The sequence below is a fragment of the Homo sapiens genome, chromosome 1, assembly GCF_000001405.40.
Source record: "Homo sapiens chromosome 1, GRCh38.p14 Primary Assembly".
In the NCBI taxonomy this organism is placed as follows: domain Eukaryota; kingdom Metazoa; phylum Chordata; class Mammalia; order Primates; family Hominidae; genus Homo; species Homo sapiens.
Window position 1 is genome coordinate 206,286,510 of NC_000001.11, and position 17,509 is coordinate 206,304,018.

General features: G+C 43.0%; 1 protein-coding gene across 15 annotated transcripts in view, besides 2 other annotated features; it reads left to right on the forward strand.

The window, feature by feature from the left end:
- Positions 1-17,509, forward strand: part of SRGAP2 (SLIT-ROBO Rho GTPase activating protein 2) — a 260,896-nt gene that overhangs the window by 82,969 nt on the left and 160,418 nt on the right. For 11 of the 15 annotated variants that reach the window (XM_011509354.3, NM_001377444.1, NM_015326.5 and 8 more), the window contains exon 3: positions 16,772-16,964. The exons of 1 other annotated variant lie outside the window; for it this stretch is intronic. In XM_011509354.3, coding sequence (XP_011507656.1) covers positions 16,772-16,964 — 193 coding nt within the window. Of the gene's footprint in view, positions 1-12,486; positions 12,824-16,112; positions 16,686-16,771; positions 16,965-17,509 lie in introns of those variants that run through there. 3 more of the 15 variants (XM_024446014.2, XM_024446015.2, XM_047416534.1) reach the window with 3 other exon arrangements.
- Positions 10,669-10,963: a silencer, noted in NCBI's record as "tiled region #15698 duplicate 3; HepG2 Repressive DNase unmatched - State 14:Gen5'". NCBI's record gives its function as "represses a minimal TATA promoter and a strong SV40 promoter by Sharpr-MPRA in HepG2 cells {active_cell/tissue: HepG2}" and the evidence as "EXISTENCE:reporter gene assay evidence [ECO:0000049][PMID:27701403]".
- Positions 11,019-11,313: a silencer, noted in NCBI's record as "tiled region #356 duplicate 3; HepG2 Repressive non-DNase unmatched - State 14:Gen5'". NCBI's record gives its function as "represses a minimal TATA promoter and a strong SV40 promoter by Sharpr-MPRA in HepG2 cells {active_cell/tissue: HepG2}" and the evidence as "EXISTENCE:reporter gene assay evidence [ECO:0000049][PMID:27701403]".

Genomic DNA, 17,509 nt, shown 5'->3' on the forward strand with positions numbered 1-17,509 from the left:
GAGGCACTGTGGCATCGGGGATCAGCAGGGAACAAAGTGAAGTCCCTACCATCATGGAACTTACACTCTAGTGGGAGGAGAAAATGATAAACACCTAAATAGATTTACAAGTGGCATGAAGAAAAATTAAAATGAGGTAAGAGCATAATAGAGAGTGTCGGGGCACTTTCAGATGGAGTGGTCACAAAGGCTGCTGTGAGCAGAGAGCTCAATGAAGTGAGAGAGCTAACCACGTGACTGTGGGGAAGTATGCTTCCAGCGAAGGGAAGCATATGCAAAGGCCCTGAGGTGGGTGTTTGCTTGCCATGTTCTATGACCAGAGAGGCCAGTGTAGCTGGGGGCCAGTGAGTAAGGGTGAACTGGGCCATGTAAGGTTTTGGAAAGCCGTTAGCTTTTCTCCACTGGGAAGCCATTGAAAGATGATGAGCAGGGCTGCAGTGTGGAGAGTAGACTACAGGGAAGCAAGGGAGGAGGCAGCAAGACCAGTTAGGAGCTACCACAGCAATTCAGAACAAAATGAGGCTGAGTTGCACTGTTCAAAAGGTGGAAGGGATAGGAAGGGTTGAATTCTAGACTCATTTTGAAGGTGGAGCTGATAGGATTTGCTCATGAATTGGATTGGGAATTTGTAAGAGAAGAGTCAATAATAACTCTGAAGATTTGTGGCCTGGCAGGTGAATGGTGGTACCGTTACTGGGGTAGGGAACATGCTGGGGTGGGGTCAGGATGGGGTGTCAAGAGTTCAGGTTCGGGCATGTTAAGTTCTAGGTACCTGTTAGATGGCTATGAGGAAATGGTAAGTCAGTTGGAGGCTGGAGTTGACTGAGAGATCTAGACTGTAGATACAGATTTGGGAATCACCAGACATAGAATGGAATGGGATCTGATAGGAAGCAAGGAGAGATAGAAAACAGATCCTATGACTGAATCATGCATGGGGCATTTCAGCATTTAGATGTTGGAAAAGGAGAGGGCCCAACAAAGGAGACAGAATGTGTGTCTGTAGCATATCAAGAGAGTGTGGTGTTCTCAGGCCAGTGATGGTGGTGGTGGAGTCTCAAGAGTTGGCAATATTTAGCCATGTGCAGGTCATTACCACCCACCACAAGAGTGGTAGAAGCAAGAGCCTGGTTACAGTGGCCTTAAGAGAAAAAGGGAAGAAAGAAGGTGGAGGCAGGGAGTACGGACACCATTTTGAGTCTTAATGTAAAGAGAAGCCACGATGAAAAGGTAGGTGGGTTGGGAGAAGGGAAGAGATCAAGGAAAATATGCGTTTGTTTGTTTAATAAGATGGGAGAAAATACAGTGTGTTTGACTGCTGCTGGTAATGAGCCAGTAGAAATGGAAAATGATGATACGGAAAATAAGAGTGTATAATTTTAGGAGGAAAGGGCTTGAGTAAGCAAGAAGGGGTGGGTTCTGGTTTGCAGGTAGAAAGATAAACCTAGGTTAGAGGCTGAGACAGGGCAGGCAGGTAGGAGGGGAAGGCTCTGGATTTGGTAATGGTGCATATGGACTTTCTCTTCCAGTGTTAACATTTGGTACACATAAACAGAAGGGTGGCTGGTGAGGGTGAAATAATTTTATAAGAATGGCATTGTACCATATGTACTATAAAAATAAAAATAACTGCATTTCTTTTTACTTGAATTTAACAGAAGAAAAGAAAACTGAAATGAAAGTGAAAGAGCTGCTGTACTTTTTTCTCTACCAAAGATAATAGTTCCTAAAAGTTTTCTCTAAGGTTAAAAAAAGATTATGAAAACTGTTAGGAGGCTAAAGTCACTATTAATATTTTTAAAGACATTTTTAGTTATATCTTCACTTTAGATGATTGTCTGGAAGAATTAGGTAATTCGTGTTTTTAAACTTCCTTGCACTACTCTTCCTATCTCTCAATTTTTATAGCTTATCTTTTTTTTTGTTGTTTCTTTTTTTGCCTTGGCAATTTTCTAACATTTACATTCCAACTTGCATGCTCCCATTTTTTGGTCTTGGTGCCATATGTAGCCACTTGTTCTTTGATCGTGGCTTTCCTGTTCCTGTGGTTTTTGTTTTGATTGATCTACTGGGTGCAAGATTTCTGTTTCTCAAGACGAGTTCGTGGGTGCTACATAGGCTGAGATCTTTCAAGTTGCAGAGGAAGAGAGATGTCTGAACCTTTTTTACACTTGAGTGATGACTCAGCTTCTCCTAATATTCTTGGATCACAGTTGCTCTCTATCAGAATTTTTTAAGACATGGCTACATTATCTTCAGGCCTTGAATATTGCTATGGAGAAGTCTGAGACCAATCTGGGTTTCTGCTGTATTTTGTTAGCAATCCATTGATTCTTAAATAACTCTTTCTTTATCCTTGAAGGGCAAAAATTTAAACATTATAAGTCTTTGTTGATTTTTCTGTGTTCATTTCATGATATATTATGGGCCTTTTCTATTCACAGATTTAGTTCTCTGGATATTTTTTTCTGTTTTATTTATTGTCTTCCTCTGCATTTATTGTGAGTCTCTTAAGCCTTTTTTTTACACACCATTAATTAGATATTTAAAAACTTTTTATTATAAAAAATTTCAAATATATACAGTAGAGAGACTAGTGTTATGGATTCTCATGTACCCATCATGCTACTTTGATAATCATCAGCTCAGGGCCAATTTTGTTTTATCTGTATCCCTCACCCATTCCCACTCTCCTCCATTACTTTGAAACAATAGCAGATATAATTTATCTTTGAATATTTCAATATTTAAGAGATAAGGAGGTTTTTTTTTTTTTTTTTTGAGACGGAGTCTCGCTCTGTCGCCCAGGCTGGAGTGCAGTGGTGCCATCTCAGCTCACTGCAAGCTCCGCCTCCCAGGTTCACGCCATTCTCCTGCCTCAGCCTCCTGAGTAGCTGGGACTACAGGCGCCCGCCACCACGCCCAGCTACTTTTTTTGTATTTTTTTTTAGTAGAGACGGGGTTTCACTGTGTTAGCCAGGATGGTCTCGATCTCCTGACCTCGTGGTCCGCCTGCCTTGGCCTCCCAAAGCGCTGGGATTATAGGCGTGAGCCACCGCGCCCAGCTGGACTGTTTTTTTTTTTTGGTGTTTTGTTTTGTTTTTTTAAACTTAACCACTAATAAGTTTCATCTAGTCTGTTTATAATCTTTTTACTAAATATATAACAACATTGCCTTGTGGTGTTTAGATCAGCAACTTCTTTGCTCCAAAGGTACAGTGAATGATGACGGTTGCTGGGCCTCAAAATAAGGAAGACGAAACTAAGAGAACAGGCCACAGGACTCTCCCTGATGTTGAATGGCAGCACCTTAGATTGGGCAACAGTGACATGAGTTGCATACATAGGAAGTGCCCACTGGTTCCTGGGTGTTCTCTGAATTTCTAGTGCTCACGTGAACTGTGGAGGGCAAAGGAGGAGGATACGGAATGTACAGTTTCTTTTACAGCAAGAAGTGAAACTTAGGCCCTTTCTGATTTAATAATAACCCATGAAGAAGGAGCTGAGTGGTTTGAAGACTGTTCTAGTTCTGCCTTTGGTGGCCATGTGGTTTATTCCACAGCTTTTCAAACTGCAGGTTGAGACCTTTTACTAAATCATGAAAGCAAATTAGTGAGCCACAACCAGCATTTAAAAAGTTATAGAAAATATCAGAGTTCATGACTAAGGATAAATGTTGTTTCATGACACTTTTCAGTTGTGTGCGTATGTGTGTGTGCATGTGTGTTGGATTGCCAAAGTTTGAAGCCACTAGTTTTGTTCAATTCCTATCACTTTCTGTACCTTCTTTATCGAAAAGTTAAAGGATCAAAGAACCTATGGGATAGATTTTAGGTATTATCAGAAATGTATATAAGTCGGGCACGGTGGCTCATGCCTGTAATCCCAGCACTTTGGGAGGCCAAGGCAGGTGGATCACCAGAGGTCAGGAGTTCGAGACCAGCCTGACCAACATGGTGAAACTTTGTCTCTATACAAAAAAATTGGCCCGGCGTGGTGGCAGGTGCCTGTAATCCCAGCTACTTGGAAGGCTGAGGCAAGAGAATTGCTTGAGGCTGGGAGGCAGAGGTTGCAGTGGGCTGAGATTGCTCTATTGCACTCCAGCCTGGGCAACAGAGCGAGACTCCATCTCAAAAAAAAAAAAAAAAAAAAAAAGAAGAAGAAATGTATGTAGTGCTTACAATATAATGTACCAGGAATTATTCTAATAACTTTATAAATATTAACTCATAAAAACTCTGTGAGGTAGATACTGTTATTAACAAAATTTTACAGAATAGGGACATTCTTGCATAGAGAGAGAAGTAATTTGCCCAAGGTCACACATAGCTAGTAGGTGGTGGAGCTGGCATTTTGAGCCCAGGCAGTCTAGTTCCAGGGTCAGACTTTTCTCTGCGGCCTCTCCAGTTGATAGCATCTCTAGATGATGGCATGGACTTTTTCCTGCTATTGCCTTCAAGAAGAAATGGTAAAAAGGTGGTTGCCCCTCTTTCCCAACCACATACACCTAAACATTCAGAGTTAAGACAGCGAGAATGAGGATTCTTAATTTGGTGAAGGTGAAGGAATTCGGGGATTCTTTTTGTTAACCAATCAACATTGCCAGCCTAGCACTAAAAGATTCCACTATGACAGACAACCACATGAGGCCGTATCTCAGCATTAGAAACAAATGGATGGGGGAGAGTGGTTAAGAGCACTGATTTTAAGAATTAAACACATCTAGGTTCAAATCCTGTTGTGATCTGTTACTGTCTGAGTGAGCTTAGGCAGTTAACTGATCTCTCTGAACCTCAGTGGTCCCTCGTTGTGAAATGGGAGGAATTGTGGTTGCCTTTTAATGGAGGCTTACTAGGCATCAGGCATGTAGCAAGCACTTTATATTCTCCATCTCTTTTATTCTTCATAACAATCCAGTGGAGTGGCTGCTATTACAAACTCCATTTTGTAGATAATGAAAACGACTTAGAGAGATTAAGTGTCTTGTTCAGGGAGACACAGGTACCAGGTGGCAGAACTACAATTAAAATCCAAGTTTTTCTGAATGCGGTCTATCCTCTTAATCACTCAGCTTTGCTGTGAACTAATCTCCCTGGGGTGTTTTGAGGATTAAGTGAGATACCTTTATACTTGAATAGTGACTCAATAGGAGCCTACTTGGCACATAATAAGCACTTAATAAATGGGATATGTGATTACTAGTAAATATATAAGATGTGTCTGCCTATAACTTTTGTGGGGACAGTTTACCTTTCCATAAAAAAAAAACTGTGGTCAACTAAATCAGTTCTTATAACCAACCAGTCACTTCACATGTATATTGAGTTGTTGAAAAATAAATGGTTATCTATTCTGAAGGATCTGCTGGGCAGATTCTTTCATTGGAATAAGTTTTGTCAAGGACGGGACTGTCTACCCAACATCCAGAACAGTACCTGTCACAAGGTAGGTGTCTTAGTCTAGAGTCCTTGAAAATATAAATTAGAGGGAGAGGCAAAAGCGTACACTTCATTTGCAAGAGTCATCCCAGGGAAGCAGGAATGGGGAGAAAGGGAAGGAGGGAGAACATAACAAGAGATTGCTTATAAGTTGACTATAGCTTCATGAGAGGATGATTGCTTGGTCTTGTGGGACATCTTCACATAACTATGTGAAGCTACTGCATCTCTGAACAGTCCACTGGGGCAAGGAGGGAAAATATTTCATTCGTCAATTTCTATCTCCTGTAGGTCAAAGTTTGATTCTTGGAGCCTCCACTTCTCTGTACTTGTTGTTGACATGACTGCTGATTGAATAGGTCACTCCAAGTCTCATGCTTCAGTAGCAGGAGAGAAAGCCTGGGTGGGATTGAGAGTCACACAGCAAGGGTAGAAGGCAATGCACTGTCAGGCTGGTGCATCAACAACATATGAAGGCCCAGGAACAGCCATTGCAACAGGAACTGGGCAGACTGTTTCAGCCAGCAGCAAGGTAGTTGTGTTCATCTGGGGTGATGCATAAACTGAATCTGGCAGAGCAGGCCCTCAATAATGATAGACTTCTCATTGCCAAGGTTAATGAGCTCTTTGCCTTGCTGTCTTATTTAAATACTCCATAGTTATTGACACTTTTGTACATCTCTCTTCATTCTTAATCTACTTTCCTATCTCTCCTTGCTTTGCTTTCCACCTAAATGGGGATATCCTAAGCCTACATCTTTTTAATTCTACATGCTGTCTGTGGACAGCTGCATTCACTTTGCTAGTTAACTTCCTAACTGCCATCTATAATATTTGCTGATGGCTCCCAAGTGTCTATTTCTAGACTTGACCTCTCCTGAGAACAGAAGGAGAATACAACTGCCTTTTCCAGTAGGATGCTTCGTAGGCATTTCACGGGCCAACTGAACTTCTTGGTCTTCTTTAATCATTTTTGTTTGTCCTTCTCACTGGTAACGAATAGGTGCTTGGTCCCTGCTTGTTGAACTAAACTTGAAACAATGTGCCAGTACTTATGCTAAGCTGGGTCCTGCACAAAATGAAGTAAACTCTCCAGAGCCAGCTCTACAGGAACGTAGGGTCTGGATTTTAATATTGATCTGGTTTGTTTTCAACTCGATTGTGTTGGAGCCTTGAGCACATACAGTGTGCCTCTGTCCTCTAAGAGAGTGGACATGTTTGAACTGACATTTGGTCTTTTCAGGAATTGTTTGGTAGGAAATTTCTTGGATTTTTACTCTCCTTGAGCTTTGACTCTTCTTGGGCTGTCCTGCTTTTCAAGACTCTCATTTTGCTTTGTCCAGAGTTTACAGAGCCCTTTAGAACTGTGTTTGTATCTGTTCTGCTCATCAGGCATGCAGGACCCTCTCTGCTGGCCCTGGCCTGCTTATTTACCCCTTCTCTTCATACTCTTCTGTGTGAACCTTCAAGTCACAAGGCTTCTCACAGCCTCCTGAGCTTCATCTGCCCATTTTAGCCTCTTTGACTTTGCTTTGCTAACTACAACCCTTCATCTGTCATCCCCCTCGCTTCTGTTTAAATCCCCCCCTACCCAAGGTCTCAAGAGGTCCATGCTAGATTTTACTGATTTCTTCCTCTCTTAATGTAGTCTGGGACCATTATTTTGGCACTTAGGATGCCAGTCTTATACTCTTAAATATTTTTGCATTTAGTCCTCCTTTTCTCCAATTCAATTGTAAGCTCCTTGAGAGTAAGAGACTGTCTTACATTTTCTTGTGTAAATATCTTACATTTTCATGTGTGTTCCAATGATTCATCACCCAGATCTTCCCACAGAGTTGGTGTTAGATAAATATTTGCTGGGTTTGTTGGTTGATTATCGTGGTCCTTGGGAACTGACTTGCAGCTTGTCACTAGCAATGAATCAGGAGCATCAGACTAGGTGACATTTCCCAGAGGAGCTGCTGGTCTTCACATCCTGCATCTTTAGTTTGTGGTACAAGTTAATTCTAAATTTTGGACCTTGAGAATTCTGTTTCTTAAACATCTCAGGCAAGACCTAGGAGCTAAAATTACTACTTTGGCATTTGATGTGGCAGCTTTTTCATTTGGGATCCTTTTGTCTTTAACTTGCTTTTGAGTCACTTGAAAGAACTAAGGCAGCCTGCCAGAGTAGTCACGATGATATTGAAATATCCCTCTCATTGGCTTTATGAGATTGCCTTCTGTGCATTCACTTGGGGCTGGAAAGTTAATGGATGACTGAACGTCTTTTGGAAACTTGTAGGGCCATTTTTCTTCTTCTCTTTCCCACTAGCTGGTTTCTCTTTGTTACCAAAGGTGCATGCATTGTTTTTAGGTAGTGTGGAGTTAATGTAAGGGGAGGAGTGTTTCTTTCTTTCATAGCTTTGGAATAATCTACCGCACAGGGCAGACAGTTTTGAAGATGGCCATGTTTAAAGTCCATCAGAGAAAACTACAGTCAAAAGGAAAGCCAGGGAGGCCAGAGTTCCAGTCACAACTGCCCCCACTACCCCCTTCCTCCCACCAAGATTACTGTCTTACCTTTGAACCCAAGGATGTCTCTTATGGCTCCAGTTTGCTGACTACTGTGAAGGGAAGGATGGTTTGGAATCATACTATAGAGTCATGGGCTCTAAAGTACGTGTTATTGCTAATGATTGGTGTTGTTATGTGCAGGGATTTTCCACTCATGGAATTCTCCTACTCATTTTGACCTCTCTACCATTCAGCTTGTATTGCTCATTAATGTTCACTCCATTTCTTCATTTAGACAGCATAGGACTCCATCCAGCAGACTTCCTTCACTGTGATCTTGCTTCAACTCCATTTATTACATTCATCATGACACAAACATTTACCAGCTCCATTTCTGGCTGCTTGAGATCCAAACTACTCTATTGGCCTTTGGAGCTATTCCTCCTCTTGCACCTTTATCTTTGACCAAGCCTCAGTGCCACCTTTTGTTCCAGTAAGGACATCTTCCTCCCTACCCCACAGAGAGGCCACGCTCAAACATTCCTATCTCTTGGTGTACGTTTTCTCTTACTCTGGAATATCCTCTCCTCACCCTTCATTTACTGAAATCCTACTCTTCCTCAGAATACTACTTCAGATTTCTGTTTCCTTCCCTTTCTCTCTCTCTTTCTCCTCTCCTGCCTTCCCTCCACAAACTTGGAGGCCTACTATAATGCTAGGTGTTGTTCTGGGTCCCACAAGTACATTAGTCAACTGAACAGACAAATTTATTCTTTTTTTTTATTTTTATTTTTTGAGATGGAGTCTCTCCCTGTCGCCCAGGCTGGAGTGCAATGGTGTGATCTCAGCTCACTGTAACCTCTGCCTCCTGGGTTCAAGCGATTCTCCTGCCTCACCCTCCCAAGTAGCTAGGATTACAGGTGTGTGCCACCATGCCTGGCTAATTTTTTGTATCTTTCGTAGTGATGGGGTTTTACCATGTTGGCCAGGCTAGTCTCAAACTCCTGACCTCGTGATCTGCCTGCCTCGGCCTCACAAAGTGCTGGGATTACAGGTGTGAGCCACTGTGCTCGACCAAATTTCTTCTTTTCAAGAAGTTTAGACTACCTCCAGAAGCCTGACTATAGTAATGGGATTCCCCACTGATCTTCCTGAGCTTTCAACACTTTCATTGTAGTATTTATTCTTAATTTCATGTCCTTATAGTATACAATAACATAATTTCTGTACTATATAATTATATATCTTGTGCAATTATGTAATATGAATTGTTATGTGAAATTTTGAAATGTATATTTGGATCATGTCTTCACAATTAGATTGTAATTTCTTGAGAACAGGGACCTTCATACTTCAGAAATCCTCACTTTATCCATTACAGCCCCTTTGCAAGGGACCAAAAATCCAAGGCAAAGTGGTTTTTTTGTTTGTTTCTTTTTTATATATCTTTTATTTTATTTATTTTATTTTTTTGAGATGAGGTCTTGCTATGTTGACCAGGCTGGTCTCAGACTTCCGGCTTCAAGCAGTCCTCCCATCTGGGCCTCCCAAAGTGCTAGGATTACAGGTGTGAGCCACCATGCCTGGCCTAGGCAAAGTGTTTTAAGCGAAAATTGAATGAATTGACTTGTGTCACTGAAAGGTCCAGGGATAGGGCTGGCTTCTCATCGTGACTTCATTCAGATACTCATGTTTCCTTCTCCCCATCTCTCAGCTCTGCTTCTCTGGGCCAACTCCATTCTCAAATGGGCTTTCCACTCACGGTAGCAAGATGGTAGTGGCAGTGTCACACTCTCTTTGTCCCCAGGTCTTCCATCTCCCAGCCAAGGCCTGGATTTGAGAAAGCACACTATCTTTGGAGAGGGCAGGGGTGGGATCAGTTTTACTGAAAGCATGTGGACCGAGAGTGGGGAAAACATGGATATAAGGAATGAAAAACAATTATTTCAGAAACATAATAGCTATTTGTTGGTTGGTTGTGCCTTATGTATTTAGTTTTTTGAGACAGGGTGTTGCTCTGTCACCCAGGCTGGAGTATAGTGGCACAATCACGGCTCACTGTGGCCTTGACCTCCTGGGCTCAAGCAAGCCTCCCACCTCAGCCTCCCAAGTAGCTGGGACTAAAGGCATGCACCACCACCCCCAGCTAACTTAAAAAAAAATTTTGTAGAGCTGGGATTTTGCCATGTTGCCCAGGCTCGTCTGGAACTCCTGAGCTCTAGTAATCGGCCCACCTCGGCTTCCCAAAGTCCCGGGATTACAGGGGTGAGCCACTGTGCCTGGCCTGTTTTGTGCCTTACTTAATAGAGTAAAGTAATGCAGAAAAAGACTATCAGTCACACTCTTTGAGGAAGAATATTTGCTGTTTCCTAGTTTACTGAAAGTATCTTGATGGCCTTTTCTTGGAAACTGACTACCCATAGGTAAGTAATGTCAGTCACTGAGGATGTGTTATAGCACATATAACACATTGAGGGTGGTGCTGTGTCTCTCTCTCTGCTCTGTGCGCATACTCATTTGTTTATATTATTATTTAACCTTGTTTGTTACCGTTTTTTTCTTCTTTCTTCTCCACTACCCTGCTAACTTTGAGGAAGAACTTTTTGTCTGTATTCCCAGAGCACCCGGAAGGCACTCAAATAGATGTTTGCAATGAGAGTAAGTAAAAGTAGGAAAGGACATTGGGAACTCAGCGACTTGGATTTCAGTCTTGGATCTGCAACTAAATAGCTGTGTGATCTTGGTCAATCCCCTTTGCTGCTCTGAGCTTTGGTTCTCACATCTGTCCAGCAAGGATTTTTGAGTCCTCCCTTTACTAAGTTCATAGAAAGGCAAACTAGCAGAGTAGAGAGCAAGACTTGGCAGGGCATTCTGGTATTTTGTTTCCTGAGGAACAGTTTTGAGAGGGGCTGATTACTGTTGTGATAAGAAGTCTTGGTAAGAGATATGGAGGGTAGCGCCTGAAAGCCTCAATTGTATTCTTATGTAACATTCTCTGGAAAGGTACTAGGAATTAATATTCCTGAGATGGCTGAGGTGTTTGTGAAGGGGCTAAAAGCAGGTGAGGCAGATTGGGTGGAAAAAGACTGGCAGTCAGACCAGGTTCCCAATGGGGAGCGCGGGCTGATCTGCTCCACGTGCTGGCAACAGAGCCTGTGGGAGATGCAGCTCCTGCCCCCTGGGTGCTGGCACATCAAGGAGAAAGGAAGGACATGCCTGTGTGACTCTCCTGAAAGATTACATCTGTCTCCTGGCCTGCCCTTCCTCCCCCATTTTCTCCTTAGAAATGTGGTATTCATGACTTAATCAGAGAAAATTCCTGAAGAAGAAGATGAATTTTGAAAGGAGGAAAGAAAGGGATCTCTGGATTGAAAGCAATAGGCTGAACACCCCCACTCCCTCACCCCCTGTACTCTGCTGATTGGTGAATTCCCTGGATGTTCTCTGAAGTGAGGGCAGTTTTCAGAGGACTGTGTCATCTGCATTGGCAGGTGTTGTAATTTGGAGTCTACATGATTGTCAGCGTGGCAGGGCCCTGCCTGTTTTTGTTAAATGATCAGTATCCTATTAGGGCTAGTTTTTCTTCCAGTTGCATGCTTATTGAGACCCTTCAGCATCTTTCTAAAAAGGAAATAAGCCTCTTTCTAAATACTAGGACGAGTATAGTTAGTGTCTCAGCTGTGGCCAAGCATGGGCAAGGAGGCAGCATTTCCCAGGGGAAGCTTCATGGGTGTGTCTGGTGATGCTGGATTTGAATTCACATATAAAAACACTCCCTGGCAGGTCTTTATCTGACATCGTTTGGAAATGGTGATCTGCCAGTGGAGTTCAATGTCATGGCCAAGCCTACGGCCCAGAGGGGCAGCTTCCAAGATTTGCTTTAGGAATAGTCAATGCAGAATGTGTTTAATTCATACACACAGGGAAATGGAAACCAAGAATCCGTTCCTCCTTTTGGCTCCTGTTTGTTGGGTTATTTTCCCCTTCACTGGCAGATGGTGCTCAACAGAATATGCTATGTGGTGGGGTTAAATTTTTTAATCTGTTTTTTTCAGTGAGATACAATTCACATACTGTAAAATTCACTCTTTTAAAGTGTACAATTCAATTTTTTAAACATATTCACAAGGTTGAGCAACAATCATCACTATCTTAATTTCAAAACAGGGAGGTTTAAATTTGTCTTGAATCTCTGCATGAAATATCAACCAGAGGTCAACTCTGATTCTCAGGAACCTTTTAAAGAAATTGGGTTCCTCTTGCAAGGGAAGCTGCAATTTTTATTCAAGTGTCATTTTTAAAAAAACATAATAAGAAAAAATGTTAGAGGACATTGGATTTTTCTTAGCCCTGTTATGTGATTTCTTTCCGCTATTGATGATTTTTAAATCTTAGATCTTCAGGTTGGGGCTTATTACCACAGCTTTGTTATAATAAAGAATATTTAAAGCAGAAACAATAAGACTTTTTGTGTTCTCTTGTCCTTTCTCTTCTTTGTCAAGCCATGCCTCTTTAGACAGGGCTTAGACCTGTCTTTTCCTCCTTTGTCACCATCACCTAGCACAGTGCCTCCATACAGGAAAGGCTCAGTAAGATTTGCTGAATAAATGGGCTCTACTGGGCGCTCAGGGGAGGCTGTTTGGATGTATATATCACTCCAGGTGACTCATGGCGACCTTAGTACTTTGGCTTTGTGAATAGCCAGGGAATTCTTTTGTACCCCTAAGATATAGCTGCTTCTAGAAAGTGAGAGCTTGACTTCTTTCCATGTATTTCTAGGGAAGGAACTGGCAAGGACCCCACCATCTCCATAGCTCCCAAGAATTCTCATCCAACTGTAAACCAGATGTGTAAAGCCTTCTTGAGTTGGTATCGTGAAGCATGGTGTAAGTGGTATGAGTGGTGTGAGTCTTTGAGTGTGTACACATGATGTGCACATGCATGATCGCCTAAGCACATGAGGGAACTGTGAGGAGTTCCTCTATGTTTTTAAATTGCCTCTTTCTTCTTTCTGCCCTTTTGTTTGTTGATAGGCCAGGGTTCAGAGGGGCCTTCAGCCTGGGCACATGGCCCAGGAGTGCTGGTATTCAGTGGCCCATTGTTTCCTGCCCCTTGTGTGCATGAACGGGGACTGGGGCCAGCATAGCTGCCTTCTTGGGGACCATTGTTTGTCTTTGTAGGAGCAGCAGCAGCAGCAGCGCCTAAGGCAGCACATTTTTCCCTGGATAGAACAACTGTTCTGTCTTGGAGCTGTACGCCTAAGAGTGAGAGTAGTTAGAATTTCCCTTAATGCCTGTATGGATGCTTTGAAGATGGTAACAAGGGAGGCATCTTCTTCTTTCTGCTTCCTTTCTTCTTTTGCCTTCTTCCTTCTTCATTCTCTTTCTTCTTTCTTTTTCTCCTCCTTTTCCTTCTCCTTCTCCACCTCCTGTTCTTCCTTCCTTTTCCTCCTTCTTCTTCTTCCTCTTCCTCTTCTTCTTTTTGGCCAGTTGTGAGGGAGGGGAGATGCTCATGGTGTCATATCACAAATAAACCACACTAGCAGGTGGTATCTATTAACAGAGCCTCTTTTTTTTCCTGGATCAGGGGTGGGGATATTGCTTTCTCACTGTCTCTGTCCTCTGGGCTTCCTGGTAGACCTCAGGGTGTACTCACAGGACAAGAAAAGCACTTCCCCCTAAGCTGTCCTGTAGAGTAGATCTAGGAAGTGGGGAAGGGATCCAGTGTGGTTGTGGACAGATTGAAACAGAGCTAGCTGGTGAGTCGGTGGGCAAGTCCAAACTTGTCTTAGGGGCCTGAATCAACCCTCAGCTGGAAAGTGGAAAAGGCGATGTTCCAGGAGTTAAGAGTCATGGTCACTGTGATTTACACAGAGATATTTTCAGAGACTCCAAACTGGTGTTCTATTTCTCTTGTTTTTGTTTCTCTGACCTACTATTAACCTCTTTGACAAGTCAGACAAACCTTAATTTAGCTCCAGCTCCTGTTGCATAATTGTTGACCCTTTGGTAAATTACTTAAAGAGTCTTACTTCAGTTTTCTCCTTAGTGTAATCAGGATAATTGTGGATACCTTACAGACTACCTGTGAGAATTAAATGAGATGATACATAGAAAGGCCTATAAAATGTATTCAATAAACACATGCTCCCATCCCTTCAGGGTTCCAGAGGGAGTACCTGTGATGCAGCATATACTCTGCTGCCCTCATTGAGGCACCTGCAAAATCAGGCTGGAATTCCTTGCTGGCTGGATGTGCTTGGGGGTTTCTTATATTAAATCACATATCTCAGAGGCCTCCTATTAAGTACTTGTTCCTTGGACAGGCTAACTCTGGAGTGGCCTACTTCTGGAACTTCATGGGACTTTGCCTTGTCCTCTCTTTTTTTGGCAGAGGGTGGGTGTCATCCAACTAACTATTCCTTTCTATTCCCCTGGTGAGTGAGATTACTGAGGTAAATTCTTGAGTGCATTACAGGGGACTCAGAGGGACCTGACAGCCTTACTGCCCATCCATATCCCCTGTACATCTGTTACTGATTCAGTACCTGGAAAGCCTTTCCACCCTAAAAACGCCTTGGTTCTTTTTTGTTGTTGTTTGTTTGAGATGGAGTCTCGCTCTGTCGCCCAGGCTGGAGTGCAGTGGTGCGATCTCTGCTCAGTGCAAGCTCCGCCTCCCGGGTTCACGCCATTCTCCCGCCTCAGCCTCCCCAGTAGTTGGGACCACAGGCACCTGCCACCATGCCTGGCTAATTTTTTTTTTGTATTTTTAGTAGAGACAGGGTTTCACCATGTTAGCCAGGATGGTCTCGATCTCCTGACCTTGTGATCCGCCCGCCTCGGCCTCCCAAAGTGCTGGGATTACAGGCGTGAGCCACCGCGCCTGGCACTTGGTTCTTACTGAACGGATGGAATTTAAGTAATATTAGTAAGCATTCTGAATGCCCTCTCAATGTACAGTCTGCCCACCCAATGGCTATTACTATCAGCTTTTCACTAATATATTGAAGGGGGACAGATGCCTACAGGAATAGTCTCAACAAGGGCTGTTCCCTTTAAGAGACCCAGAAATCCCTGGCAAGAACCAGATGCCTGACATAACCTCTGCAGATCTTTACCCCCAATACCCTTGTAATCAGACTCCGTAAAACACAGAACAAGAGAGCTTTGATGAGTGATGAGGTAGGCAGCTTTTCTGCACAGCCTTCTGTCTGCTTGAAACAATCCTCCGGAGCTCAGTTTCAGTTCAGGTGAGGTTACTGCAGGGCTGGTTGGCATTGGTGGTTGACAGGGAGAGAGATGAGGATGAAGAGGGTGAGAATTGCGCTTACAGATCACCTGAGATCATCTGCAAAGGACATACTGATATTTGTAAAAACAGCAACAAAAATGTAGATGGGGACAGATTGTGGAGCCTCGACTACTTTAAGGCAAAGCTAAACGCACCATTTACCCATCCTCATTGCTTCAAGAACATTTCAGCATCATAGTTCTGATCCTGATTTGCCTCTGATTTATCTGCAGCTCACGTGAAAACTCTAGACCCCCTCTCCCCATAATGATGCATTACATAGCATTACATAGCATAGACAGAAAGCATTGTTGCAACTGTGCTATTTGGGAATGAATTTGGGGCACACATAAGGAAAGGCATAATATAGGTGCTCCTTTTCTGTGGGATTGGAGTCACTGTCACATCCTAATGCATTTGGAGCTGAGCAGGCTTGCAGAGGGAAAAGATGAAAGAAATGGCTCCATTCTGACTCAGATGGGGATTGGGACATAACTTCAGCAGGATACACACTGCAAGCCTTCTCTGAGCTGGAAATCAGTCTGGCTTTGGCATACTGCTTCCTGTGAGTGCCAGGTCTCTTGTCAGTAACAAATGCAGTGCTGCATTTGAGGCAGATCTGTTCGCATCTATAGCTGCCTTTGCAGCAGTTCCAGAGAGAGTGTTTGCTAGCTCCATACAAGGACCCTGACCAGCCAGAAATCTGCATGCTAGAGCTTAACCAGAAGTATTTCTAGCTATGACACTATAGAGGCACTACAGCATCTATGAAGATTAAGCAACACAGATATGAGTGATATTTGTTAGTGAAAAAAATCTCTTTCCAAGTCTTCTTAAAAAATGATTTTCATTCTGTGATATTGGAAACTGTGAAATCTGATTGACAGTGAATGGTTTGCCTGCCCAGAAGTTCTTGTGCTTGTTTTGTTTTGATTGCTACCATTTGACCTTGGGAGATTTTCTTCCTATCTCCATTAAAATATCCTGACCTTCATCCTACTTCATGAAGATGGTAAACAACATTTTGAAATGATGGGGAAAAATGCAAAAAGTAGGAGCATGGTCTCTAAAGTCAGTCTCTTGGGGTTTGAATCCCAGCTTCACCACTTAAAAGTTTGACTTCTTCAAGACTCTGTTTTCTCATTTTTAAAATGGGGATGAGGTAGTACCTGCCTCATAGGATGGTTGGGGTGATAATTCATTTGGGCCCTCTGCCAGAAGACAACCCAGATTCTGGCTCTGTGCCACTAGAAACATAGTAATATAAATGGTAGATAGGAATGTTATTATTTTTAATAAGCAGCTTCTCATAAGTGATTCAGCAGATTCCTGGTTCACAATGTTCTTTAATGGTGTAAAAAGGGTTGGCATTTTTGGAGGTGCCTCACATCCTATGGCCAGTTTAGACTTTAGGCTTTTTTGTTCAGGGCTTTCAATTTCCCAGGGCACGGGGAATAAGTAAGTGGAAGGTGGGTGAATATTGGCATGCATGGTGGCTTATTTAGGGCGGTCTTTCTGACTGTCTTCTCTTGTTTTTGTTGTAGAGATCCGTGCTCAGCTCACAGAGCAGATGAAATGCCTGGACCAGCAGTGTGAGCTTCGGGTGCAACTGTTGCAGGACCTCCAGGACTTCTTCCGAAAGAAGGCAGAGATTGAGATGGACTACTCCCGCAACCTGGAGAAGCTGGCAGAACGCTTCCTGGCCAAGACACGCAGCACCAAGGACCAGCAATTCAAGTAGGGGCTCTGTGGCTATTACTCTCTGAGACCTTGGAATATGGGGTCCAGGGTGGAGGGGGGCAGGGTATGCCACTTAGATCCAGCTGAATTCAGGAGCCCCTGGCTTCAGATTGGTTGAAAGCCCTCAAGGACTTCTCGTTTTCCAGATCAGTCTTATGTGCAATTCAACATTTCGTAGAGATGAGAGTAGATGATGAACCATGCTAATAATAACAGCAAACTTGTTTATAGCTCTGTTGCCAGGCATGCTACTAAGGGCTTTACATATATGTTAGTTTGCTTAATCCCAACAACTCCATATGATGGTTATTGTTATTATCCCCAATTTATAGATGAGGAAACTGAGGCATAAAAAGGTTAAGGGGCTTAACTCAGGGTCTATCTTAATCTCTGTCTCTCTCTCTCTCTCTCTCACACACACACACACACACACACACACACACTCACACTCACACACCCCTAGTAAATAGTAGAGCTGGAATTCAAACCCAGGCAGTCTGGCTGCAGGGTCTATATTTTTAACCATTTCACCAAACTGTCTT